Genomic DNA, 26793 nt, shown 5'->3' with positions numbered 1-26793 from the left:
CTTGTTTCAAAGCTAAACCATAAACTAAATTCCTCCTACAGTTAGCTTGGCTTATGCCCAGGAATGAGCGAGGACAGCCAGCCTGTGAGGCTAGAAGCAAGATAGAGTCAGCTGTGCTAGACTCCCTTGCTGTCATAATCTTTGCTAAGGCAGTTTCCGTATGGACAAAGATGTCTGTTGCAGCATCATTCACAGAGGCCCAAGACAACTACAATTAAGCAGGTGCCTGTTTTCTCCTTATAATCAGCTTCAAGATCTTAAAGCTCATAACATTTCATAACACTTTGCATTTGTATTAGGGCCAGCTGTGGTCAGTGATCCCTTCCTATAGTATTTGCATTTTTAACAGAACACTTCAAAGACCAGTGGAAATTCAACTGTCTTTGGGGCCTGAGGGTAGCCTGAGAGCCTCCTGAGGTGAAGCTGCAGGAGTGGGGTACTGTTTCCCAGGTAGGAGCACCTTGCTTGGCAGGCTAAGGGTCAGACACTGCTTTGCAGGCAGAGGGGTACTTTAAGACCATACGATCCACGTGATGAAAGCTGCATTCATGGAAGGAGGGGCTGAACTTGGGGAAACCACTTGCCCTGGCTTTTTGTTCTTTGCTTTCTGAGGCAGAGCCCTACCTGGGGGCATACAGACTGTGAATGGTTTTAGAAGATTCATAACTGCCTTAGCATTGGATGCAACATCTCGGGTGTATATGGACATGTGTGTCTTCCTGGGAAGAGGGTTACTATTTTCGTCAGGGTCTCAGAAGAGACTGTACCCCACGAAAGGTTAAGAATCACTATTCTAGGGAGATTTTTTTCTGATAAATTATTCCATAGTCATGAGTTCATGCCCTATCCTGCATTGTTCTAGGGATCTGTCTGTTTAAACAGGGAACCCATGGGTCCACGCCATGCACACTCCAGTTTTCAGAGGCTGGGCTCGCCCAGGGAAAAAAAACATGGCTGCTTTATGTTGAGTACATAAAATCACATGAATAGAAGACACTATAAGGGAACTGGTTGGAAAAGGGTGGGGCAGGTCAAGTCAAGTCAGGATGAGGTCTGAATCCACCACAGGTAATTATTGATCAATTTAATATGGAACCAGGTAGATGGCATTTCATCTTCGCTACTTATTGGCTGTGTGGCCTTTGGCAAGTTACTCAGCTTCTCCGCTGTCAATGTCTTCACATGTGAAATGACGGTAATAACCATCTCTCCATCATGGAGTGTGGGTGTGAGGATGAAACGAGCTAATGTATTTAAAGCACTTCTAATACTGGCTGGAACCTAATAAGCACTGCAGAACATTCATTTTTAATTATGATTATTGTTGTTGCTCTTACATAGCAGCCCTTCTGGCTTAATGAAGGCAATATGGTATCGTGCACTGGTTCTCAAAGTGTGGTCCCAGGACCGGCAGCATCAGCATCATCTGGGAACTTGTTAGAAATGCAAATTCCCTGACCCTACCCAGACTACTGAGTCAGGAGCTCTAGGGGGGTGGGGCCAGCAATCCATGTTTCCACAAGACCCCCAGGCAATTCTGAGACCCCCTCAAGAGAACCACTGGTGTGGTCATTAAGAACACAGGCTTTGAATTCGGGCTTCACCATCTGCCCTCTGTATAAACTGGAGAGAGTTATTTAGCCTTTCTGTACCTTGGGGTACTCATCCGCAAAATGGGGATGGCTCCAGAATGAAATGCCAGGCAATGCCATAGTGCATGGGAAACGCGTCAGTGCCCAGCACAATGAGTACTCCATAAATAACAGCTGTAATTATTAGTATTAGGAGTGGAAAGCTATTGTTTGAAGAAACCGTTACAATAGAAGCAGCTAGAATGGGCAGCTTTAGTGTGGACGTTGATGAATCAACTCTAATGGCTGTGTGTATGTGCCTGTGTGTGGGTGTCTGTATGTGTGTGTGCATGCTCACATGCCCTTTGCCCTGAGGGGAAGGCAAATGCTTTGTGATAAGAGCTTGTGCTTGAAAGCTTTCTCTCCTAGCATAAAGCCTCTTTAAGTTCTGGGGGCCACATCTTGAAAGAGAAAAGTGTTTGTAAGGGAAACACTTCAGACTGTCCCTTCACAAGTTTACAGGGTCAAAATTATCACAGTTCCTTTTACTTCTCTGTGAAAGTTGCTTCTTAAGCTTCGTCCTCTCACTGTAGAGCTGCCATATCAAACTCATCAGCTCCCAGAGGCGCAGGGGATACCAAGGATCTAGTGGAAATGGGAGGGCTCCAGGATCTCTTTCCTGTCTGCAGGTGAGTAACAGTGAGCCCCAGAGATGCTCCTTGAGGCTGGGCTGCAGGAAGGCAGGTGAAGAGCCCCCCTAGGCTTACCCAGGACCTTCCTGGCTTTGGCACTGAAACTCCTGCATCCCAGGAACCCCCTCAGTCTCGAGCAGACCAGGATGGACAGTCACCCTCTCTGCTAGTCCTCCACTCAACTTTTCTTCAATAGCTGTCACCCTGGTGGAGGCCAACCGTGGGGTCAAATAGCCCATTTCCTGGTGTGTGGCTTGCCTGCCCTGTCAAGGCAGCAGTGCCGAATAGAAGCAGTAGCCAGAAGCTGTCTTCCCTTTTTCTGAGGATTCTCCTGCCAGGTCCTGAAACTTCAGCACGCACAGGGTATCCTGGGGGCTGTTCGATATGCCAGCACCCAGGTCCCACCCACAGAGAGTCTGAGTCAGAAGGCCAGGGCCAGTGCTTGAATTTGTGCCTCCTGGCCGGTGTCAGGAGGTTCTGATGCAGAGGGTCTACAGACCAGGTTTTGGGAAACACTGTCCCAAAGTGTAGGAGCCCATGCTAAAGGCTGCTTGTTCCGGATGGCTTTGTCATGTCGGGCTAGTTTCAAAGTTCCCATGAGGAGCTTGTAATAATGAACAAGCAATTCACAGCTAACACACTGGCATTCAGAAGTGTTTAACGCAGCATACTATTTAATCCTCAGAAAGTGTTCATCCATTCCACAAACCCTGGATGAGAAGCTACATTAAGTAAGGAGTGAACAATGAGACCCTGGGTTTGCTAGCCTCACAAAGCTTAGACAGCAGGGGGGACATGGGCATGGGGCAGACAGCCTGTGGGCTGGATGCTGGTCTGGTGACATGACAGCCACCCCCCTCTAATGTCTGCATCACAGAAAGGAAGCCAGGAGCAAGGATCTCTTCCCTGTAGCGCTCTGGATGGATCTGCCCATGAGGGCCACCCATGTCCAGTCCTCAGTCATAGTGAGCTGTGCTGAGGAAGGGACTTGGCTATGCCCCATCTCCCATCACTTCTCCCCTTGATTCCTGATGCAATGGACTTTAATTTTTAGCAACACCAAGCAGCCTGCAGCTCCCTCAGATACCTTATTTTGGCTCTTATTATCTCTGCCTGGAATTCTCTTCCTGCCCAGGCATCACCTCCTCTTAGAAGCCATCTTGGGCTCTCTGGGTTGGGCCAAGCCCCAGGGCTCTTGCTCTGTCTGCCACTCTTGCATCTGACTCACACTCCTAATTTGAGCACTCTTTGTGGTCAGGCCCTTGCTTTGGTTAGCTGGAATTACCAGCTTCTGGCACAAAGGACAGGAGGTGGTCACAACTGTTTGCTGAGTAGAAACTTGTATTGGTCTCCTAATTCACAAACTGAATGGCCTCAAACAACAGAAACATATTCTTTACAGTCAGGAGGGTGGAAACTCAAAATCAAGGAGTCAGCAGGGCTGGTTCCTCCTGGCAGCCTGGAGGGAGTGGACCCCCATTCCTCTTCCAGCTTCTGGTGGCCATGGGCAGTCCCTGGCCTTCCGTGGCTTGCAGGATCCAATTTCCATCTCTTTCTTTTCTTTTCTTTTTTGAGACAGACTGTCACTCGTCACCCAGGCTGGAGTGCCATGGTGCTATCTCTGCTCACTGCAACCTCCTCTTCCCGGGTTCAAGCAATTCTCCTGCCTCAGCCTCTCGAGTAGTCAGGATTACAGGCACCTGCCACCACGCGCAGCTAATTTTTATATTTTTAGTAGAGACGGGGTTTCACTATGTTGTCCAGGCTGGTCTCAAATTCCTGACCTCGTGATCCACCCACCCGGGCCTCCCAAAGGGCTGGGATTACAGGTGTGAGCCACCGCACCCAGCCTCCATCTCTTTCTTTACATGGCTTTCCCCTCAGTGCCACTCCTCTCCTCTGCGCCTTCTCTTCTAGGGACACTTATCATTGGATTTAGGTACCAACCTAATCCTGGATGATCACATCTCAAGATCCTTAATTACATCTTCAAAGATCTTTTTCCGATAAAGTCACATTCACATGTTGCAAGTGGACATACCATTTTTTGGGGAGGGCACCACTCAACCCAACAACCCACATTTCCTCTCCAGGCCTCAGCTTCCATCAGCTGTGCTGTGGGGGATGGACCAGGTGCTGTCTGTGCTGTCAGGACACTGTGGAGCCAGGGCCAGGGCTGTGCTTTGCCTTGAAGGGGAGGGAACAGGCTGCATTATGAACAGAGTGTTTCTCATGGTGGTCGGGCCCCCTGGGTACGTGCAGCACAAAACCCTCCAGAGAGTCTCTTTCAATCAGTCCCATTTTCCCCTGAGCTCTCCATTCTCCACCAGACCTGCTGGGGGAGACATAAAATATGAAAAAATGAGTTTTCATCTTTTTGTAAAGTAGCAAGCAGAGTGTTATTTATTTATTTCAGTTATTATTATTATTATTATTATTATTATTATACTTTAAGTTCTGGGATACAGGTTTGTTACATAGGTATACACGTGCTATGGTGGTTTGCTGCACCCATCAACCCATCATCTACATTAGGTATTTCTCCTAATGTTATACCTCCCCTAGCCCCCCATGCCCCAACAGGCCCCAGTGTGTGATGTTCCCCTCCCTGTGTCCATGTGTTCTCATTGTTCAACTCCTACTTATGAGTGAGAACATTTGGTGTTTGGTTTTCTGTTCCTGTGTTAGTTTGCTGAGAATGATGGTTTCCAGCTTCATCCATGTCCCTGCAAAGGACATGAATTCATCCTTTTTTATGGCTGCATAGTATTCCATGGTGTATATGTGCCACATTTTCTTTATCCAGTCTATCATTGACGGACATTTAGGTTGGTTCCAAGTCTTTGCTATTGTGAACAGTGCTGCAATAAACATACGTGTGCATGTGTCTTTATAGTAGAGGTATTCTCGGTACTTTTACCCATGTTTGGTTATTGAACAAGAGTCGCAATAGTTGCATAGAATTTTAAGTGTTTGTTGAATTGTCCAATTACCAAACGTAGATAAAAGTACCAAGAATACCTGATGCAACACCCAAGCACAGGAGGCAGATTTAGAGATGCCTCTTGCAGAGGGCACTCACCATGGGATGTGGAAGGCAGGGGCCTGGAGATACTGATGTTGTATCTAGTCCTTATCTCGCAGTTCAGAAAGACCGATCTGGTGTCTGCAGTAGTTCTCTGCACCTGACAGGTTAATTCTCAGAAGCCCTGGTGTATTAGGCCATTTTTACATTGCTGTAAAGAAATACCTGAGGCTGGGTAATTTATAAAGAAAAGAGGTTTAATTGGCTGATGGTTCTTCAGGCTGTATGGGAAGAATGGTGCTGGCATGGGGAGGCCTCAGGAAGCTCACAATCATGGTGGAAGTTGAAGTGAAGCCAGTATGTCACGTGGCCAGAGCAAGAGCAAGAGAGAGATGGGGGAGGTGCCATATGCTTTTAAACACCCTGATCTCTCACAAGAACTCACTCACAATGGCAAGGTCAGCACCAAGCCATTCAGAAGGGATCCTGCCCCATGACCCAAACACCTGCCACCAGGCCCCACTTCCAACACTGGGGATCACATTTCAACATGAGATTTGGAGGGGACAGACATCCAAACTAAATTACCTGAGAAGCTGAGTTCTTAGGGTTTTATTTCATTTTATTTCAATTTCATTCTCTCTATCCTTATTCCCAATCAATTGTCCTCTCCTTCCATTCACCTCCATTCTCACGTACTGTGTGTCCTGCCAAACATTGATTTACTCACATGTCTCAAGAAAATTACACAATTTGAGGAACATATATACACACATATATATTTAATATATATGTAATTATTTTGGATATATACGCATATTGTTTATGTAAGGTCAGCCAAGAGAAAGGAAGAGAGAGAGAGAGAGACCCAAGTTCAGGCAACTAAGTTTATTGAACCTGCCAGCTGCTCCATTACAGAGGAGGCAGCCTTGAGCTTACAAAATGAGGAGTTTTATATGGGGGAGAGAGACCCTGGGGTCGTTTGTTTGTTAACTCTGCCACATATCACCTGGTGATGTTTATGATAGCAGGAACTTACAGGAGGGTAAAGTTTGTTTATGCTTCCTACGACCTCCCCCTCTCCGTTTGGTCCAGATGGTTTGTAATTGGGGTTTGCTTTATCGCAGTAAGGCCTGATAGGTAAAGTCTGCAGGCTTCACCATGGCGCCTAGATAAGGGCTTAGAAATGTAAAAAGGCTTGGGGGAAGGGGAGGGGTGTTGGCAGTGCCAAGAAGCTTTTTTGGGTGGGTTTTTCCCTAACAGTTTACAATATGGATAATGTAAACCCCCAAAATTTGAGACAGTCTCAGTTAATTTAGAAAGTTTATTTTGCCAAGGTCGCGGATGAGTGCCCATGACATGGCCTCAGGCCTAAGCTGCGTCCAAGATGGTCGGGGCACAGCTTAGTTTTATACGTTTTAGGGTGACATGAGACATCAATCAATATATGTAAGAAGTACATTGGCTTAGTCTGGAAATGCAGGACAACTTGAAGGCAGGAAGACTAGAAGAAGGGAGGGGGCTTCCAGGTCACAGGTAGGTGAGGGACAAAAGGTTGAATACTTCTGAGTTTCTCATTAGCCTTTCCAAAGGAGGCCATCAGATATGCATCTATCTCAGTGAGCAGGGGGTGATTTTGAAAAGAATGGGAGGCACATTTGCCCTGAGCAGTTCCCAGCTTGAAGGAGCCCAAGATATTTTCCTTTCACAATAATAATTCTATTTTCTTCACAGTTTTCACTCCTCATTCTGGTTTTGAAATCAAGCTGACAGCTATGTAGATGTGTATTGTACCTTTTCTTTTCCATTCCCCTAGTCGGGGAAGCCTAGATTATGTCACTTTCAGTCCTCTGCTACTGTAAACAACAGAGTGATGAACATCTTTGAATATGCCTCCTTGGGTAGCCCTGGAGAGTTTCTCTGGAATTGGAACGTGAAGGTGATAGTGCTGGGTCGTTGAACACGAATACTTCCAGTATAAACACAACCTGGATGCCCTTCAGAAAGGCGGTTCCAAGTTCACACGCATCAGCATTGCAGGAGAGCTCCGCTTTGCTCATATCCAAGCCCACACTTAGTGTCACTCAACTTTCTCATTTTGCCAATCTGGTGAATGCAAAGTGGTATCTTAATTTGATTTGCATTTCTTTGCATACTAAACACTAGCTGTCCAATCCACAAGTACTTACTTATCCTTTTTGTGCCTCAGATTTCTCATCTTAGGAGGCTGTGAAGATTCCCTGAGTTAACTCATGGAAAGTGCTTACAACCACGCTTGGCATAGAGTAAATGCTCAATTAATGTCAGCTAACAACAGGCAGTCAGTGTTTGTGTAGCAGGACGAGCCACAGATAAAACCTCTCAGACACCGACCTATAGAAGGAAGGGCTTTATTCAGCTGTGAGCATCGGCAAGCTACTGCCTTAAAATCCAAGCTTCCCAAGTGCACAATTTCTGTCCCTTTTAAGGGCTCACAACACTAACGATTTCACATGAAAGGGTCGTGACTGATTTGAGCAAGCAGGCGGTACATGACAGGGGCTGCACGCACTGGTGGTCAGAGAGAAACAGAACAGGGCAGGGAGTTTCACAGTGTTCTTCTATACAATGTCTGGAATCTATGAATAACATCGGTTTCTAAGTCATCAGTTGATTTTTAACTACTAGGTTTAGGCCAGGCAGGCCCAGGTCCAGTTTTGGGCCTGGCACCAGGCTGCCTGTTTTTGATTTCACTTCCTTGTTTTTTTTCTTTAAACAGGTACTGAGTATAAAACAATATGAAAGGGTCTCTCTCTTCCCTCATTTGTTGACTTGAGTACACCTAGGAACAGGGAGCACAAAAGGTGTGGGGCATGACTTGCCCAAAATCAGAGAGTGGTGGGTGGTGGACTCAGATTCAAATACAGGAGGCCTGCCTTTAAAGGGAAATTTGCACTGAAGGGAATTTTAAAATTTATAAAGTGTTTTTCTGTGATGTATTAATAATAGAAGTGCCAGAGTGGAGGAGGTGCATGTGGCTTCCCTCCCCCAGAACCCCTTTGTCTGAAAGCTGCTCACCTTTAGTCCTGGCCAAAGAGACAGAAGTCAGTGTGTAGGTTATGGCACATGACACCCTTCCCCCAGCCCCCACTGGCCACAGACATGCACAGTCCTCTGAGAATTTCAGCCCTGGGTTGGTTGGTGATGGGCCCTGGACCAGCAGGTCAGTGGGGATTTGAGGTCTGGTGGTTGTGGAGATTCATCTGGAGACAGAGAGACACAAAGAGACAGAGACACAGAGACAGAGACAGGGTGACACAGAAAAACTGTAGAGATGGTTCTTAGCAGTTCCCTGAGGCCTGGCTGTTTTGTGGTTCCCAGATATTTTGCTCTGTCCCTACTGAACTCCTGGCTCATGGCAGCTTGAGTGAGTTTCAGTCCCTTGCAAACTAATGCACCCTGATTGAAACTGATGAGTGGTGGTGACCCGGGATCCCTACTTTGCATTCTACCCACTGGCTGTTAACATCTGAAGGGCAGTCACTGTTTACCAGTATGCTGTATTACTCCAATGACTATTCCAGCGAAAGCAGATACAGTCCTCAGGCCCAACCACTGGAGACTGCAAAATCAAGCTATTAGTATGATGGAATGGGGTACAGATGTTTAAAATGATAAATATGATGATTACGCAGACAAGGTCCTTTGCTACTTTGCTACCTGTCAATGAAAGAGTTAACTAAAAAAACGTAGGAAGCAGGAATATATATGGATTACAAAGACAGCAAAACAATGTTGACACATTGATAATGATCAGCAGAGGCCCTGGAGAGATATGACTGGTTGCTGGGTTAAGATAAAAGAATTTATATTTTTATGTGATGCTGATGTAAAAAGAAAGAATATAAAATAATATTGTTTGACCAGTATTTAAATGCACCTTTAAAGCATTTTCTGATAAAATATCTTGAATATGGAATACACAATACATCCAGTAATGCCTTCTTTGGGTCTGAGGTCACCAGGCAGGACAGATGGTAGAGATAAGCCAGGCACTGGAGCCACAGAGACCTAGGGTGGGTGCTGGCTCCACTGTGGAATCTGCATAGGTGGTTGTCATTACCTGCCCTTGATGCATCCCAATCTGGTGGTTGATGGTCTCACTGCCCTCAGCAAGCTTCTTTCCTCCTCCTCATTGATTCTTTTCCTAACCAGCAACAGGAATTGAGCACCCAATGCTGACACTCTCGTATTTGAGCATCTACTCTTTCTCACATGCTTCTGAGCACTGACACACAAAGGTGACTGAGACCAACTATATCAGTTCTGGAGTTTCAACTATGAGTGACAGGTAACTCAGTCCTGACTGGCTGACGCTGGAAATGCACTTCTTAGCAGTGTCAGAAACTCAGAGGGCAAATGAAGGACCCAGAGGCTCTATGGTGCCAACAAGGATGCAGGTTCTCCCATCCTGTCCTCTGGCATCCACAATGCTGGACACACACTGGGGCTGGATTCCCTCATGGTCAAGGAGCCATTGGGCCAATGTGGAGAGAAGAGAGTTCCTCATTCGTGGCCAGTTGAGAAAAAAGAGTTCTTCCTCACTAACTCTACAGAAAAAGCCCAATCTTCCTTCTGACTGGAGCAGCTCTTGTGCCTGTATTGCCCCTGACCAACAGCATCTCCAGGGCACCACCACACACTGACTGGCTTAGCCCTGGGCTCAAGACCAGTCACTGCCCAAGGGGATGAGGTTGCCACAATAGCTTGGACTAACACGTCCCAATCCCCAGACTGGAGTCTGTTTCTCAGGTCTCATTCTGCTGTATAGCGGGAGGCATGGGGAATCGCAGTGGGTATTTGGCAGTCAGCCAGTGTCCACCACACAGACTCTGTCCTCAAAGGTACACAGTGTGGTGGTGGGAGTAAAAAAGTCACTGTAATACAGGAGCTGATGGAGAGCCACAGAGGGCCTGCCTCTGGGGCACAGAGGAATGACAGCTTGCTCAGCCTGGGGTCCTAAAAATGCCTGGGAGTCCCCAGCTAATTGCAGAACTAGGGAGGGGAGGGTAGAAAGGCATTCCTAGGAGGGACGAGTCCCCCTAGAGGGCCACCTTGTGTGTGACTAGCTGAGCAGTGGGTGGTGCTAGAGCAAAGGGCGGGGTAGAAGCAAAGACCACATTCATGGAATGACCCCAACCTTGGTGCCCTGCTATTCAGGTTAAGCAGCTTTTGTGAGCAAAGTAGAGCCATGGTGGTCTTCAATAGTAACCAAATACAGTCAGATTAGCGTGTTACAAAACCACACTTCCTATCTGGAGTCTGAAGATCCTTATTTGACCATCTAGGAAGGAGTCTCTTCAACATAGCTGAAGGATCCTCTCTTCTGACTCTATCATCCTTCAGTTTGTCAACCCTTGCCCGTTTCCACCAAGTAGCTGGTTTGTGCGGAAGGCCCAGGGGCCTTGTCTGTGATTCACTCACCTGATTCTGCAAATCTGATATAAGCTTTCTGCTGTGAAGCCTTACTGAGCAGCATGCTCCCCCGCCATGGGGAAGTGACAGACAGTGGCTGATGTGTGCATGCAAAGGTGTTGCCCAGAGTGTAGGCTGGAGGGAAGATGAATAGAATCCACGTTTGTTTTGTGTTTGAGGGTAGGAAAGCTCATTTTAAACCAACAATGAGTCATAATATTTATTTTCTCTTCTGGATCGAACTAAAGGAAGCAAGTCTGAAATCTCACTGGTGATCCCTACTTGCTTAAATGGGTCCTCTTGGGCTTTGGGGGCCACTGAACAATAGTTGTGACACAGTGATGCATAGTGTTCTTCTTGTTTCTTTAAAAATGTCTCTGCCTCTCTAAGTCTCTGTCCCTCTAACTATCTCCTCCTCTTCTCTCTCTCTCTCTCTCTCTCTATTGGGACAGTATTTCATGCAGGTATCCTACAAATATCTATGCCAGGCATTATTAAAGATTCAGAGAATATGAATTAGTAATTCTCAGGTTTATTGAGGAGACAATTTATTATAGTTGGGAAGAAAGCAGCAATAACACACAGAAGGTTTGCTCATGTGAAATGGTGATACCAGCTCTAAGCTGCAGGCACTTTCTCCACCATTGACAAGGTGGTCTTCCCAGGGGAGGTGTTCCTTGGCCTGGGCCTATGGGGATGTGCCTGGGAGGATTTGGATTTACAGATAAGTTAAACCCGTGTACGCTAAGCATCTCCTCTGTGCTTGGCCCTGGACTGGGTTGTGGGGACACAGATGAGTTATGTCCAGCCCCTTCCTCCAAGGAGCCCAGAGTCCAGGCAGCGTGGCAGCATCCCAGGTGCAGCACGCAGTGTGAATCATGAGATCCTGCCTGCCTGAGTACCTGGGCTTAGCTTGGTGCTGGAAAATACCCTCTGATCTCTGGGCCTGTGTCCTCACCTGTAAGGGGACAGGCTAGACTTCACCACCTCTCAGGCCCTCCTGGATCTCATACCTTTGAATCTTTGTATTGTGTTTTCTGGAACCAGAAGCAATAGTCGCTGTCCTTGGTACTGACTGGTAAAGGAGTGCTGAAATCAGGATGGGGGTTTCTGGGAATTTGGAAGCCCCAACATCTATCTCGATGCTCCCTGATACTCCCCACCCCAATCAGCTGATCTCTTCTTAGCCAAGCATCCTAATGGCTGGGATGGGCAAGAGGTGGGCGCTGGAGGGTGAGTGAGAGGTGGTGGCTCTCCCCTTGCCCATCAGAAGAGGACGGCAGGTCCAGGACTTGTTTCTCCTGTTTGTGCAGAGAAGCCTGGGGGCCTGAGGCTGAGGAGGCTGGGGTTGGATCAGAGCATTCAGCTTAGGAAGACCCATGATGGCTCAATCTGATTCTCTGTGCCTCAGATTATTTTCCTGCACACGAAGTGGCAACAGTAGGTTTAGAACTTCAGTCTCCTGATGGCACTGAGGTTAACTCCTTGCCTAACCCCAATCTCACCTCTTAATCACCCCCTCCATATCCTGCTGTGAAACAATACTGCTCCACAGCTCTGCGTGAGCTACAATTCAGGTGTCTACAAATTGGAGCAATGTACAAGATCGGAGGCTTGGATTATCAGGTCCCATACATGATGCCTTCTGGAGCTTCTCAGCCCACCCCCCAGACCTTGCTGTGTTTGTACTTTAGAAATTTCAGTTTTGTTTCCATATTATGCAAGTATTACCTGGGGGAGCAGGGAGACGTTACATGTAATTATGGTGAATCATTTAGCAAACAATTAGGGGACAGAGAACAAACAAGTCACTGTTTCCAAAACCCCTCTTTAATCACTTTGCACATCCTCAGAACCCAGAGCAAATATTAAGATAATTAATCACTGCCAACCTGTCACTCATAAGGACCTCACTTCCAATTAATTATGTGCTGTTGGTCTTCAGTCCAGGAGCAGACTGAAATTTTGTTCAAGGTCATACTCTGAATTCTGGATCCCCTCTCTGTGGGCAGAGATTCAAGTCAGTTCTGATGCTTTCCCTAGGATTATCTGTCCCCAGCCTGGCTGCCATCAACAATGAATTCTGCACAATCTCTCTGTTTCATCCAAGTTCTTCTGCACGACCTTTATGTAACCTTCCATTCTTGGAGAAGGAGGGAGGGACTTTCCAACAATTTCACAAAGATTGGGTTACAGATAGGCTGCTTGAACGTTTAGGTGAGGCTGGGAGATTTACCAGCATTTGGAAGTAGGGTGAGGTGATGCCAGATCATAGAAAGCAGATGGCTTCTGGGTGGGGCAGTTTCGGAGAGCCAAGGATACAGGGGAGACCCCGGGGCTGGTTGCATGTGCTGAGGACTCACCAGCATTTTCCTGGGGTCTGGCACATGGTGAGAGCAGCTAAGTGTTAGTTTGGGTAGATGGACAATGAATTATTAAAACTTTATGCTTCTGTTCTCAGCACAGAACAGGTGTAAAATGAATCAAACTCCTACTCTGCCTTCACAGCTCAGTTCATGTGCTCATATGTTACCTCCTTGAGGAGCTTTTGGAGATACCCTTTGCTGCACTGGGGGCCCTCCCTGAACTTCCACATGCCCCTCCACCTCTACCACAGCTCAGATCCTCATGTTTAATTTCATTTATAATAGTACAATTTAAGTAAAGTAATGCATATTAAACTTTAGTTGAGGCTTTTTGAAGATGAAAGATTGAACACATGTTTTTAGCTTTACTCCTTCCTGAAACCCCATCCAAATGACAACAAAGGAATTTTTAAGAAGGCTTAGACCCTTAAGGCCAAAGAGAGAAGGAGAGGAGGGAGCAGCAGATGTGGAATCTGCAATTGCAGGCTGGAAAGCAGATGGATGCGTGGTAACTGACTGAGCAGATTGGAGGCATTAAATCCTAAGTCAAAATGGGGATGAGAAGCAATGGATGAGCATCACCGAACGCCTTACAGGCTCTGGACCTGGTGGCACGGTAGTTTTGGAAGTGGAAGTGATTTGGGGCTAGAAACAGAAGGATTGGTTGAAAGTTCAAAAAGCAGTTAGACTTCCAGCTTCCTCAGCCACTTCATGCTACTGGGCATGCCCCTTTCCCACTCCAGCAGAGGGGTGGGAACCTTATTCCCGGGAGAAGATAAAGAGAGAGGCTCTGGGCTTGGGGTACCAAGGGCACAATGCTGGAAAACGCTACATCCTGGAGGCCCGAGAAGTACCAAGGGCAGTCAGTGGAAGGGTCTGTCTTGGGTGGAGGTAGCAAAGTCACATTTTGTCTGTAGAGAACTTCCCAAAAATTATACAACTGGTGAAAAGTCAGTGTGTCGCTTCACACTCACTAGGCTGGCTATTATTTAAAAAAAAAAAAAAAATACAGAAGCTGGGCGCGGTGGCTCACGCCTGTAATCCCAGCACTTTGGGAGGCTGAGGCGGGCGGATCATGAGGTCAGGAGATCGAGACCATCCTGGCTAACATGGTGAAACCCCATCTCTAATAAAAATACAAAAAATTAGCCGGGCGTGGTGGCGGATGCCTATAGTCCCAGCTACTCGGGAGGCTGAGGCAGGAGAATGACATGAACCCGGAAGGCAGAGCTTGCAGTGTGCCGAGATTGTTGCCACTGCACTCCAGCCTGGGTGACAGAGCGAGACTCCGTCTCAAAAAAAAAAAAAAAAAATACAGAAAATAACAAGTGTTAGCAAGGACATGGAGAAATCAGAATCCTTGTGCATTGCTGGTGGGAATGTAAAATGCTGCAACTGCTGTGGAAAAGAACATGGTGACTCCTCAAACAATTAAACATAGGATTACTATATAGTACAGAAATTCTACTTTTGGGTATATACCCGAAAGACGTGGAAGCAGGGATTCACAGAGATATTTGTATACCTATGTGCATAGTAGTGGTTACTCACAATAGCCAGGAATGGGAGCAACCCAAGAGCCCATAAATAAAATGTGGTGTACACATACAAGTGGTGTACACATAAAACGGGTTATTATTCAGCCTTAAAAAGGAAGGATATTCTGACACATGCTGCGACATGGATGAACCTTGAAGAATTACGCTAAGTGAAACAAGCCAGTCACAAAAGGACAGATAGTGTAGGATTCCACTTATGTGAGATACCTAGAGTAGTCAAAATTGTAGAGACAGAAAGTAGAGAGGAGGTTATCAGGAACTAGGGAGAGATGAAAAGGGGGAGTTAGTGTATTAATGGGTACAGGGTTTTGTTTGCAATGAAGAAAAAGTTCTGGAGATCGATGGTGGTGATTCACCGCAGTATGAATGTACTTAGAGCCACTGAACTGTACACTTAAAAATGGTGAAAATGCCCGTAATCCCAGCACTTTGGGAAGCAGAGATGGGAGGATAACTAGGCGCCAGGGGTTTGAGACCAGCCAAAGCAACAAAGTAAGATCCTGTCTCTACAAAAAATAAAAATATTGGCCAGGTGCGGTGGCTCATGTCTGTAATCCCAGCATTTTGGGAGCCCCAGGCAGGCAGACCATGAGGTCAGGAGTTCGAGACCAGCCTGGCCAACATGGTGTGAAACCCTGTCTCTACTAAAAATACAAAAAAAAAAAGAAAAAAAAAATTAGCCAGGCATGGTGGCGTGCGCCTGTAATCCCAGCTACACAGAAGGCTGAGGCAGGAGAATTGCTTGAACCCAGGAGGCAGAGGTTGCAGTGAGCCAAGATTGTGCCACTGCACTCCAGCCTGGGCAATGGAGTGAGACTTTGTCAAAAAAAATAAAAATAAAAAACAAAAAATAAATTAGCTGAAAGTGGTGGCATATGCCTGTAGTCCCAGCTACTCAGGGGGGTGAGGCAGGAAGATCACTTGTGCCCAGGAATTTGGAGTTGCAGTGAGCTATGATTGCACCACTGAACTCGAGTCTGAAGAACAGAACAAAACTTCATCTCCAGAAACAGAAATGGTTATAATGATAAATTTTATGTTATGTACATTTTACAACAATAAAAAGCCAAGTTTTTTTATTATCACCATGTGCTGGTAATTCTGAACAATATTGTGATAAAGTATTCCTCCCTGAAAAATATCTTGTTGGTCTATATTCTAAATAACTGTGTGGTTACTCTTGAGTTTCAATAATACAGATGTCAGCTGGGCACACTCACACCTGTAATGCCACCACTTTGAGAGGCTAAGGTGGGAGGATTGCTTGAGCCCAGGAGTTCAAGACTAGCTTGGTCAACATAGCGAGACCCCTATCTTTACAAAATAAATAAATAAATAAAATAAAATAGCTGGGCTTGGTGGCACATGTCTGTAGTCCCAGCTGCTCAGGCGGCTGAGGTGGGAGGATGACTAGAAATCAGGAGTTTGAGGCTGCAGTGAGCCATGATTGGGCTACTGCACTCCAGCCTGAGTGACACAGCAAAACCCTTTTTCAAAAAATAAAAAAGTATGTATAGATGTACGCTTCAAAACAGCACATTTTATTACTGACCCTTTAATAAGCATTTTATTCTACATGGAAGTTATTTGCAAGAACCCCAGCATATGAGGACTCAGCACATGCATTTGGTTGAGAGGAGATGGCTAACACTTCAGATCTTGTGCAGCTTCCTTGGTTGTGACCTGGGTCCAATCCCTGGGGTGCGGCAAATTCCTGCATTTGTAAAGAAGATTGCAACAATGAGAGATTGTGAATGCAAAGACAAAGAAGTAGAATTTGCATTATTTCACGCTTGGCATTCCATGTGACTGCTTGGAATTTCATGAATGCTTAAAATTTAAATCAGTAAATCAGAGTGTGAACTGAGTGCAGTACTTTGGTTTGGCAAATGCAGATTTTAGTTCTTACATAAAATACTTTACTGAATCTGCATAATATAATTAAAATGAAAATTTATCCATCTGTTATGTTAACAGTTTGTTTTAAAACTAAAGAAGAAATAAAGAAGTGATTAATGCTGATTCTTACATGATTATTACTGGGAATAATTTTTTCGTATAGAGGAGGGGGTTGTAAATAGGGTCTGCTCTGGAAGAGCGCTGGACTCTGCTAAAAGTTGAAAATGCTGATCATGGACAATGAATTCTGCACAGTCTATTGACATCCAGAAAGAGATTAGGAGTCTTTTGTAGGAAATTTCACTAACTAAAAAGAAAAGTGTCAAAGATACCAAGATCTGGAATTGCCTAAGGAAATAGTCAGTCAGATCACCCAACATAACTACAGATAACAAGCTCCCCCAGCCACCTTGCCCAGATAGCTAGTTACCTTCTCAATAACTAGTTGTAAATACTACTGAACAGCTAAGACATGTTGGGAATGCACTTAACACAAAAGCTATCAAAACAAACAAAAAGCTACTTGACTGTAATCCCAGCACTGTGGGAGGCCGAGATGGGCAGATTATTTGAGGTTAGGAGTTCAAGACCAGCCTGACCAACATGGTGAAACCCGTCTCTAGTAAAACTACAAAAAAATTAGCCAGCGTGGTGGCACATGCCTGTAGATTGCACCACTGCACTCCAGCCTGGGCAACAGAGCAAGACTCTGTCTCAAAAAAAAAAAAAAAAAAAAAAAAGCGACTTGAAAGAAGCAGAAGCTATTCCGGTAGACTGAACTTCACGTACATTATTCTTACTATTCTTAACAATTAATATTATTAATATATTCTTTTATAGAGAAGAATGCTTCAAAAAAAAAGAATATGCTATAAAAAGGACTATTCCAAGACCAAAAAAAATCTTGAAAATTAAAAAAAAGATAGCAGAAATTTAAAAAATCAATTAAAAGGTAGCAAGATAGACCAGAAACAGTGGCTTTTGCCTGTAATCCCAGCACTATGAGAGGTTAAGGTGGGCAGATCACTTGAGCCCAGAAGTTTAAGACCAGCCTGAGCAACATAGCAAGACCCTGTCTCTGCAAAAAAAAAAAAAAAAAAAAATTAGCCAGGCGTGGTGGTGTATGCCTGTAGTCCCAGGTACTTGGGAGGTTGAAGTAGGAGAATCACCTGAGCTTGGGAGATTGAGGCTGCAGTGAGCAGTGAGCATTGATTGTGCCACCACACTCTAGCCCAGGTGGCAAAGTGAGACCCTGTCTCAAAAAAAGAAAAAAAAAGAAAAGTAGCCAGATAAAGTTGAAAAATCTCATGGAAAGTACAGTGAGAGACAAAGAGATGAGAAAATGGGAGCTAAATGATGAGAAGATGTGAGGACCAGATTAGGACATTCAATATCCAAGTAAAAGCAGCTGCAAAGAAGGAGAAGAGAAGAAAGAGAAAGGAAGAATTCACCCATAAAGAATTCAAGTTGCTTTCCTGGAACTGAAGGAGCCAAGTTGCTGGTCTGGAAAGACTCACTGAGCACAGAGCAAGGGAGGACAACAGACCCACCCACAGGAGGCACATGGCCATGAGCTTTCAGGATGCGGGGGGGAAGGAGGAATTCCATTTTCTTTCCAAAGGGAGAAAAGGCTTGTGAACTCCAGCACTGCATGACACAAAAGACAGGGGAGCAGAGCCTTCCAGACTCTGAAGGAAAATGATTCCATCTAGAATTTTGTGTCCAGCCAGACTCTTGCTAAAGTGTGAGGATAGATGAAAGACAGGTTTAGAATTTCCATCTTACTTTCAGATTTATTCTTTTTTTTTTTTTTTTGTAGAGACAAGGTCTTGCTATGTTTCCCAGGCTGGTTTTGAACTCCTGGGTTCAAGCAATCTACCCACTTCAGCCTCTCAAAGTGCTGGGATTACAGGCGTAATCCCACCCTTCAGTGGGAAACTACTGGAGGATGTGCTACAGCAAGATGAGGGTGAGTCAAAGGAGATCCAGGCATGAAAAACAGGAAAGAGGGGGTGCAACAGAGGAAGACCCCCAGATGATAGTAAGGAAAATCCCAAGAGGTCAGCTGCACAGCAGGTGGAGAGAGCCCAGCCCAGATTGGAAAAGGTCAGAAGGAGCCAGGAGAAGTTTCTGTAAGATGCAGTGCAATTGTGAGACTGCCTAGTGTGTCTGCACACATTGGGAGAAGATTTACATACCAGGAGAGTTCAGAATAGAATAGTGATAAGCACATAAAAAACGAAACAAACAACCTGAGAGTGGGATATGTAGATTTTTATCTTGAACCAATTTTTAAAGCTTTATTAAGGTATAATTTACATGTTATAAACTGCACATATTTGACATACACAATTGGACAAATTCTGACATACAGATGAAGCTGTGAAACCATGTCCTTTTATAATCCCTCTCCTCATCCTTCCCAGGCGTCCAGGTAACCATTTATTTATTTTGCCCTATAATATATATGTTTACCTTTTCTGGAATTTTATATGATTGGATCATAAAGTGTTTACTCCTCTTATTTTCTGGTTTTATTTGTCTTGTGTAATTACTTTGAGATTTATTAATAATGTATGAGTAGTTCAGCCTTTTCTTTTTCTGAGTACTCTTCTGATGTTTGAATATGCCACTATTAATTTATCCATTCATTTGTTTATTTTCAGCTTTTAGCTATCATACATAAAGCCCATGAACAAACAGACAAATAAAAAACTAAATAAACAGGGTATGAGAGAGGGACAATGATTGACTCCAGATATATGAGTACAGGTTTGATAAGAATGACACTAAGATGGGATTAGATGTTGGAGAGATTGATTGGGGGAAACACCTTTGAAGGATCTAGTGGGAAAGCCCAGACACAGGCAGCGGCACTTGTAGAAGTCAGTGCAGGGCTGGCCCCTGTGCAGGAGGGAGGGAAGGGAGGAAGATGAGGTGGGGACAGCCCAGGCTGCAATGCAATTTCCAGAAAGGAGCAGCCAGGACAACAGGGGAGTCTCCAACCCAAGAGGCCAATTGGAGAAGTTGCATGTCTTGCAGGAATGGACCTGTGCTCAGTCACTGGGCCACAGGGATGTGGCCTTGTTGTGAAGGTAATGATGGGCCCAGAGGGGCAGCAGCTGAGCTGTTAGTCTATTATACTCCCTTCAGAAAGACACTGGAGGGGTGCATTTTGTGGCCACCACACCACACTACATGGCTTATCTAGGTAGAATATTCACATAGTCATGATCATGCAAAGCTGCTGATCTAAATAAAATGACCACATGACCCTGTTGGAAGGATGAAGGCAGGAAGTGTCTGTGGTGGATATAGGAGCTAAGGAAAGAGGGTTAAATTCCATAGTAGGAAGTCAATAGAGAAAGCCTCCAAGTCAGTCACCCTAATAAATAGATTATCTATAGATATGGTGAATCTGAAACGGACCAACAAAAAGAATAAAAAAGGATTACCTGTGGGGAGCAGAAAGTGAGAGAAGGGAGCAGAGGGTGGAGATGGAAGAAAGTATAATGGATGTATAAATGAAAACTAGATTTAGCGAGTGTGGTCAAGCACCTGACACATAGTAAGTACTGTGTACATGTCGTCATGATGAAGACGATGGAGTGCTGACCCATAGTTGGTCTTCGTGCAGTCTTTGTCATATTCTCTCTTTTAAGGGTGAGCTATTAGCAATGGGTGCTTATTTTAAGTGTTCCTTATTTAGTAACTAGAGCCTTTTAGCATCTATCTGCCTCTCAAACCAGCCACCTTATGGGAGCCAGGACTGCTGTTTTATTCCACATTAATTTATTTCTACAGTGTGTGGACTCCCTCCCTCCATCCCTCCCTTTTCCGAGTCTGGGCTGCCGAGCAAATGTTTTAATGGTGCAGGAGCGGAGATGGCATGTGTGTTTTAATAAGCAGAAAATGCCAGGGTGGGGGTGGGGGGAATAGTGGTGGCTCAGGTGACGTCAGCTTGCAGATGGAGCTGGCAGGTTAAGTGGAGCAAAGCTAGCTGTAGCCACACTCTCTCCAGCTCTGCCCATGGTAAGGAGCAAGGCAGGGTGGGAGAAGCAGGAGCTTCCATGCACTCCTGGAAGTCTGCTGCAGCGGATAGGGCCATGGTCGGGGAAGATCTGCCTTAGCTGTGCTAAAAGGACATTCATAAAGAGGTCTGGGCCCTAACCCCCCAGCTGCACCAGAGGAAAGAGGAATCTTGGGAAAACTGGCCAGCTCTGCCCATGGCTCCACAGTTTCATGGCACTTGCAGATGGAAAGCTTGGGGCCCACATGAGGCTGGTCATTGGCAAAGGCTAATGACAACAAACAAAAGCTCAGCACTCACCTGGGCATGAGGACATGGGGCTCTGAGACAGGCTCTCCTCCTTCCATCTCTGGGCCTCAGTTTCTCCAGGATAAAATGATTGGTTCTCTTCATGCATTTTGGCACTGACAAATTTCTATCTGGCACAGTGCCTGCACACAGGAGGTCTGCTTAAACATCTGTGGAGTTAATGCCATGGGGCACCTGCTTGATATGGTCCTTTCTCACTCTCAAGTGTAAGAGGCAGAGAAAGCAGGGAGGATGGGGAGCTGCGGAGAAATTTAAGAATAGATTGGGGAACTCTAAACGTAGCTTTCAGGGGGCAGGGAAAAGGCCAGCCACACACTCAGCTTTCAGTGGAGAAGGCACAGCCGAAAGAGGCAGGCAAATGGCTTTAGGTTACCATGACAACGGCAGTGGATAGGAAAGGCATCCAGAGGATGCCAAGAGTGGCATTTTTCCTCCTGCCTTTTTTTTTTAAATGACTGGCTTTCTTTCTGTAAGGGAAAGAGAGGAGGAGGTAGAGGGGAAAGAAGGGCCCAACAGAAGGGAGTCTTGGAGAGCAAAACTCACCTTTAAAACTGTAAGGAAATCCATCCCTTTGTCAGAAAACTGGCTGAGCCTGCTTTATGACTGGCAAGGGCCAGTCAGTTTCCACAATGGCAGTAGCTGCTGAGTAGCTTCTATGAGGCAGGCCCCTTGCTCAGCCCTTTCCACACTGGGAAGTTTGATCCTCCCCAAGGATGCCATTGACATAGAGAATTAGGCCCACTATACAAATGGGGAAACTGAACCTCAGATAGGGTAAAAGCCTGTGTCTAAAGGCAGCATGGTGAGTTAGGATTGATGCTCAGGTGCCTCTGGCTGCAAAGCAGTGGCACTGAAGCTCTCTGCCAAGTAGCCATGGCAAAACCTGGCAGATGTGGGTGGAAAGCCATGATGATCACACTTCTTTTTTATTTAGGTGACACTTTCAGGAAGGGATTCCCTAAACCTGTGTCATTGTATTAGTCTTTTTTTACACTGCTATAAAGAACTGCCTTAGACTGAGCAATTTATAAAGGAAAGAGATTTAATTGACTCACAGTTCCACATGGCTGGGGAGACCTCAGGAAATTAACAATCATGGCAGAAGGTGAAGGGGAAGCAAAACACATTCTTCAGAAGGCTGCAGGAAGGAGAATGAACACAGGAGGAACTACCAAACACTTATAAAACCATCAGATCTCATGATAACTCACTCACTATCACAAGAATAGCATGGGGGAAACTGCCCTCATGATCCATTTACCTCCAACCGGTCTCTCCCTTGACATGTGGGAATTATGGGAATTATAATTCAAGATGAGATTTGGGTGGGATCACAAAGCCTAACCATATTTTTCTGTCCCTGGCCCCTCCCAAGTCTCATGTCACTTTCACATTTCAAAACCAATCATGCCTTCCCCACAGTCCCCCAAAGTCTTAATTCAATGCAGCATTAACCCAAAGTCCAAGTCCAAAGTCTCATCTGAGACAGGGCAAGTTCCTTCTTCCTAGGAGCCTGTAAAATCAAAAGCAAGTTAGTTACTTCCAAGATACAACAGTGGTACAGGCATTGGGTAAATGTTCCATTCTAAATGGGAGAAATTAGCCAAAACAAAGGGGCTACAGGTGCTATGCCAGTCCGAAACCCAGCTGGGCAGTCATTAATTTTTATAGCTCCAAAATGATCTCCTTTGACTTCATGTCTTGCATCCAGATCATGCTGATGCAAGAGGTGCACTCCCATGGCCTTGGGCAGCTCCAACCCTGTGGCTTTGCAGGGTATAGCTCCTCTTCCAGCTGCATTCACAGGATGGCATTGAATGTCTGTGGCTTTTCCAGGAGCATGGTGCAAACTGTCAATGGATCTACCATTCTGGGGTCCTAGCAGAGGGGAACATAGCAGAGGTTCCCCATAAGGACTCCACCCCTGCAGCAAACTTCTGCCTGGACATCCAGGCATTTCCATATACCCTCTGAAATCTAGGTGGATGTTCCCAAACCCCAATTCTTGGTTTCTGTGCACCTGCAGGCCCAACACCATGTGTAAGCTGCCAAGGCTTTGAGCTTGCACTCTCTGAAGCAATTGCCTGAGATGTACATTGGCCTCTTTTAGCCATGGCTAGGATGCAGAGCACCAGGTCCCAAGACTGCACAAAGTAGCAAGACAGTGGGTCCAGCCCAGGAAACCATTTTTTCCTCCTAGGCCTCGGGCCTGTGATGGGAGGGGCTGTTGTGAAGACCTCTGACATGCCCTGGAGACATTTTCCCCATTGTCTTGGTGATTAACATTTAACTCCTCATTATTTATGCAATTTTCTGTAGCTGGCTTGAATTTCTCCCTAGAAAATGGGTTTTTCTTTTCAATCACGTCATCAGGCTGCAAATTTTCTGAACTTTCATGCTCTGCTTCCCTTTTAAACATAAGTCCCAATTCCAAACCATCCTTTTGTGAATCCATAAAACTGAATGCTTTTAAGAGCACCCAGATTGCCTCTTGAATGCTTTGCTGCTTAGAAATTTCTTCCGCCAAATGCTCTAAACCATCTCTCTCAAGTTCAAAGTTCCACAGATGTCTAGGGCAGAAGCAAAATGTCACCAGCCTCTTTGCTAAAGCATAGCAAGAATCACCTTTATTCCAGTTCCCAAAAAGCAGCTCCTCATCTCCATCTGAGACCACCTCAGCCTGGACTTCACTGTTTATATCACTATAAGCATTTTGGTCAAATCAATTAAACCAGTCTCCAGGAAGTTCCAAATTTTCTCACATCTTCCTGTCTTCTGAGCCCTCCAAACTGTTCCAATCTCTGCCTGTTACCCAGTTCCAAAGTCACTCCCAAATTTTTGGGTATCTTTATAGCAGTATCCCACTCTCTGCAGTGCCAATTTACTGTATTAGTTCATCTTCACACTGCTAAAAAGAACTATCTGAGACTGGGTAATTTATTAAGGAAGCAGGTTTAATTGACTCACAGTTCAGCATGGCTGGGGAAGCCTCAGAAAACTTACAATCATGGCAGAAGGTGAAGAAGAAGCAAGGTACCTTTTTCAGAAGGTGGCAGGAAGGAGAATGAATGCAGGAGGAACTACCAGCAGTTACAAAACCATCAGATCTTGTGAGAACTCAGTCACTATCATGAGAATGGCATATGGGAAACTGCCCCCATGATCCAATGACCTCTACCTGGTCTCTCCCTTGACACATGGGGATTATGGGGATTATAATTCAAGATGAGATTTGGGTGAGGGACACAAAGCCTAACCATATCAGTCATGCAAAAGTGTTTATTTCCAGTGACTGGAGTCAACAGAACGCTCTCTCCTCTTGGAGTCTTCAGTTGCCTATGATGGGTGTGTAGGGGGGTGTAGCCATGGGGTATTGGATATATGCAGACCCCTAAGTTAGCACTTAGCAGTTGTGTGACCTGGAGCTGTGCCTCAGTTTCCTCTCATGTCAATGGGGATGGCCATGAGATCTTTTCACAGGGCTACAGAGATGACTGAATGTGCAAATGCACATGGAGCCCAGTGAAGCATCTGGCTCATACCGCATGCTCAATGGACATCAGCTATGTTACTGAGATGAAAAGAAAGCTGACAGGAGGAGGAGGGTTGTTCCCCAAAATCTTGCAGCAGCAAGTCAGGGCAGGGCAGTGGCCTGGACTCAGCCTCCTGGTTCTCATGGTGTGTGCATCCCTCTGACTGACATTTTGGTGGATGCAGACCCTCACCCATAAGTAGCCCAGCTTCTGGTCACAGACATCATAAGGACACAAATGATACCATGCCAGCTCTCTGGGACCTCCTAACTCTGTGTGTGTGTGTGTGTGTGTGTGTGTGTGTGTGTCACAGAGAGAGAAAGATATATATATATAAATTGGAATTACAGGCTCCATGAGTCCTGTGGATGGGGGCCCACAGCACTACCTCCTTCGGGTTAATGTTTTGTCAGTGAACAGTCTCGTAATTCATTATTTACATCATGCATGCTGCCATAATTGACTAATTAGCTTGAACTATCTGCTTAGCTCATTGGACAGGTCACTGCTCTGACTACAGGCAGGGTGAGGATCCTGGAAGTTTAGTCCTGGAAGGAGCCTTGAAGGCACCAGGAGACAGGTCTGAAGGCGGGACCACATATGCGGAGGGGTGGACACTCACATGGGAGCACCCCCTAAAAAGAGAGTGGGTTCCAGATACTAAGAAGACGTTGAAGAAATAAAGGCAAGCTACATTTACTGAGCACGTGCTAAGTGCCCAACACCAGGCTAGGGGCTTCTACACACGTTCACTGGCTAATTCTTTGTGTTGGATATTTTTAACTCTGATTTGCGAGATAGAAAAACTGAGGCTCAGAAAGAGACATAGGAGCTTGTCCATGGTCAAAAATCATTCAAAGGAGTTAGTCTTTTGCATCTGGAGCCATGGACTCTCACGTTCCTTGTCAAGCGCTCAGAAACAGGAAAGCTAAGTGAAACATGGTCCAGCCACCAGATGGATATGGCGGGTGGAGTGTGTGTAGTCTGTGCTCTCTCGTTAGTGTGGGAATGGAGATGTCAGTCTTTGTGATATGTCTGTGAAAGGCTGGGAGTTGGGTTCACCAGAGACAGAGACTGCTGTATTTATAGTGCATGGGTTTCCTAGGGTGAAAGATAAAGTTGCCTGGAGCCTGTGTGGAGAGCATCCCTGGATACGCTGGAAGTGAGTGGCTCATCATGTACAGGCTGGCCGAGGCTGGCCTTCAAGGCCGAGCCATCTGTCTTCTGAGGGTGGATGAGTCAGTGGGCAGCTGCCTGCCACAGGTCAGTGGCATGTCTTTGGGGAGAGATTGCTGTATTATTAGAAGGTGTTGACGTGGTGCTCTGTTTGCAAAACACTTCTTGGTCACTTTAAGTTTGGGAAATATTTGGTGCAAGTTTACTAATGCCTGAAAATCAAATTTTCTTGGGCAAGCTGTTTTTCGGTGAGTCCTACAAATGGGACAACACCAAATGGGGAATTATTGCTACCGTAACCAGAAGTACTTTAAAGAGTCATCAGATGTGACATCTTTCTAGGGACAAGAAATGGAGTAGGAAGAACCCCTAGACACAACCTAGCTCAACCCACTATTTAAAAAGTGTGGAGACTAAGGCCCAAGAATGGCATTCTCAAGGTCATTCAGCCAATTAGCCAATAAAGCAAGAGTGAGACTCAGCTTCCCTGTCTCCAAGCCCTCGACAGGGAGCATGAGAGTTCACGGCACCAGACGCAGAAGGCTGACTCATTTGAGCCTCAGGGGTGCTTGTCAGGTCATCATCAATTGTCCAGGCAGTTGCTTGGTCCCAGTTGGTTAGTGATGGAGCTAAGATATGAACCTGCATCTTCAGCTTTTTAGTTTGGTGACCCAACCACTTACTACCCCTAAAATTGGTGCTCCCCAACCCTCTGTCAGCTTGTCCAAAAGTTTTCCAGCTAAATCAAAGTACTGAATAGATGGTATAATGAACACTTGTCATATCACTTAACATTTCTGAACATTTTTCCTATATTAGGGGAAATTCCCACATTTTTAAGTCTCTCCTCTTCAAGTAAGCTAGAAGTCGATTTCCCAGCCATTTCTAAGAACGTTGCCTAGATGCAGGCCATCAGAGGCATCCATGCAAGGCCTTGATTTGGAAGAAGGAAACATAAAAACACAGACCCCACATGCAATCCTTTCTTGATGAGGATGGTGAAGGATGAGGCAGAGGCAGCATCCAGATCTCAGTTCTGGCAGAGCCCAAGGATGCAGCAGCTGTGTCCTGTGCTTGGCGTCTGCAGGGCCTGTAGCCAGAGGCCATGAGATCCAAGTGAGCTACAAGCAGTGCAAACAGGCGATTTGGAAATCGTTCCTGGGCATGTGGTCTCCAGGC

The 26793-nt window shown here is 45.7% G+C and overlaps 3 annotated features.

The window, feature by feature from the left end:
- Positions 15681 to 16530: an enhancer, noted in NCBI's record as "OCT4-NANOG-H3K27ac hESC enhancer chr14:96414979-96415828 (GRCh37/hg19 assembly coordinates)". NCBI's record gives its function as "activates a minimal SCP1, AML or CMV promoter by ChIP-STARR-seq in naive and primed H9 embryonic stem cells {active_cell/tissue: H9 hESC(naive and primed)}" and the evidence as "EXISTENCE:reporter gene assay evidence [ECO:0000049][PMID:30033119]".
- Positions 16531 to 17379: an enhancer, noted in NCBI's record as "OCT4-NANOG-H3K27ac hESC enhancer chr14:96414130-96414978 (GRCh37/hg19 assembly coordinates)". NCBI's record gives its function as "activates a minimal SCP1, AML or CMV promoter by ChIP-STARR-seq in naive and primed H9 embryonic stem cells {active_cell/tissue: H9 hESC(naive and primed)}" and the evidence as "EXISTENCE:reporter gene assay evidence [ECO:0000049][PMID:30033119]".
- Positions 17380 to 18229: an enhancer, noted in NCBI's record as "H3K27ac hESC enhancer chr14:96413280-96414129 (GRCh37/hg19 assembly coordinates)". NCBI's record gives its function as "activates a minimal SCP1, AML or CMV promoter by ChIP-STARR-seq in primed H9 embryonic stem cells {active_cell/tissue: H9 hESC(primed)}" and the evidence as "EXISTENCE:reporter gene assay evidence [ECO:0000049][PMID:30033119]".

The sequence above is a fragment of the Homo sapiens genome, chromosome 14 (assembly GCF_000001405.40).
Source record: "Homo sapiens chromosome 14, GRCh38.p14 Primary Assembly".
Classification (NCBI taxonomy): domain Eukaryota; kingdom Metazoa; phylum Chordata; class Mammalia; order Primates; family Hominidae; genus Homo; species Homo sapiens.
Note: the sequence above shows the minus strand (reverse complement) of the source record. Positions and strands in the feature narration are given on the sequence as shown.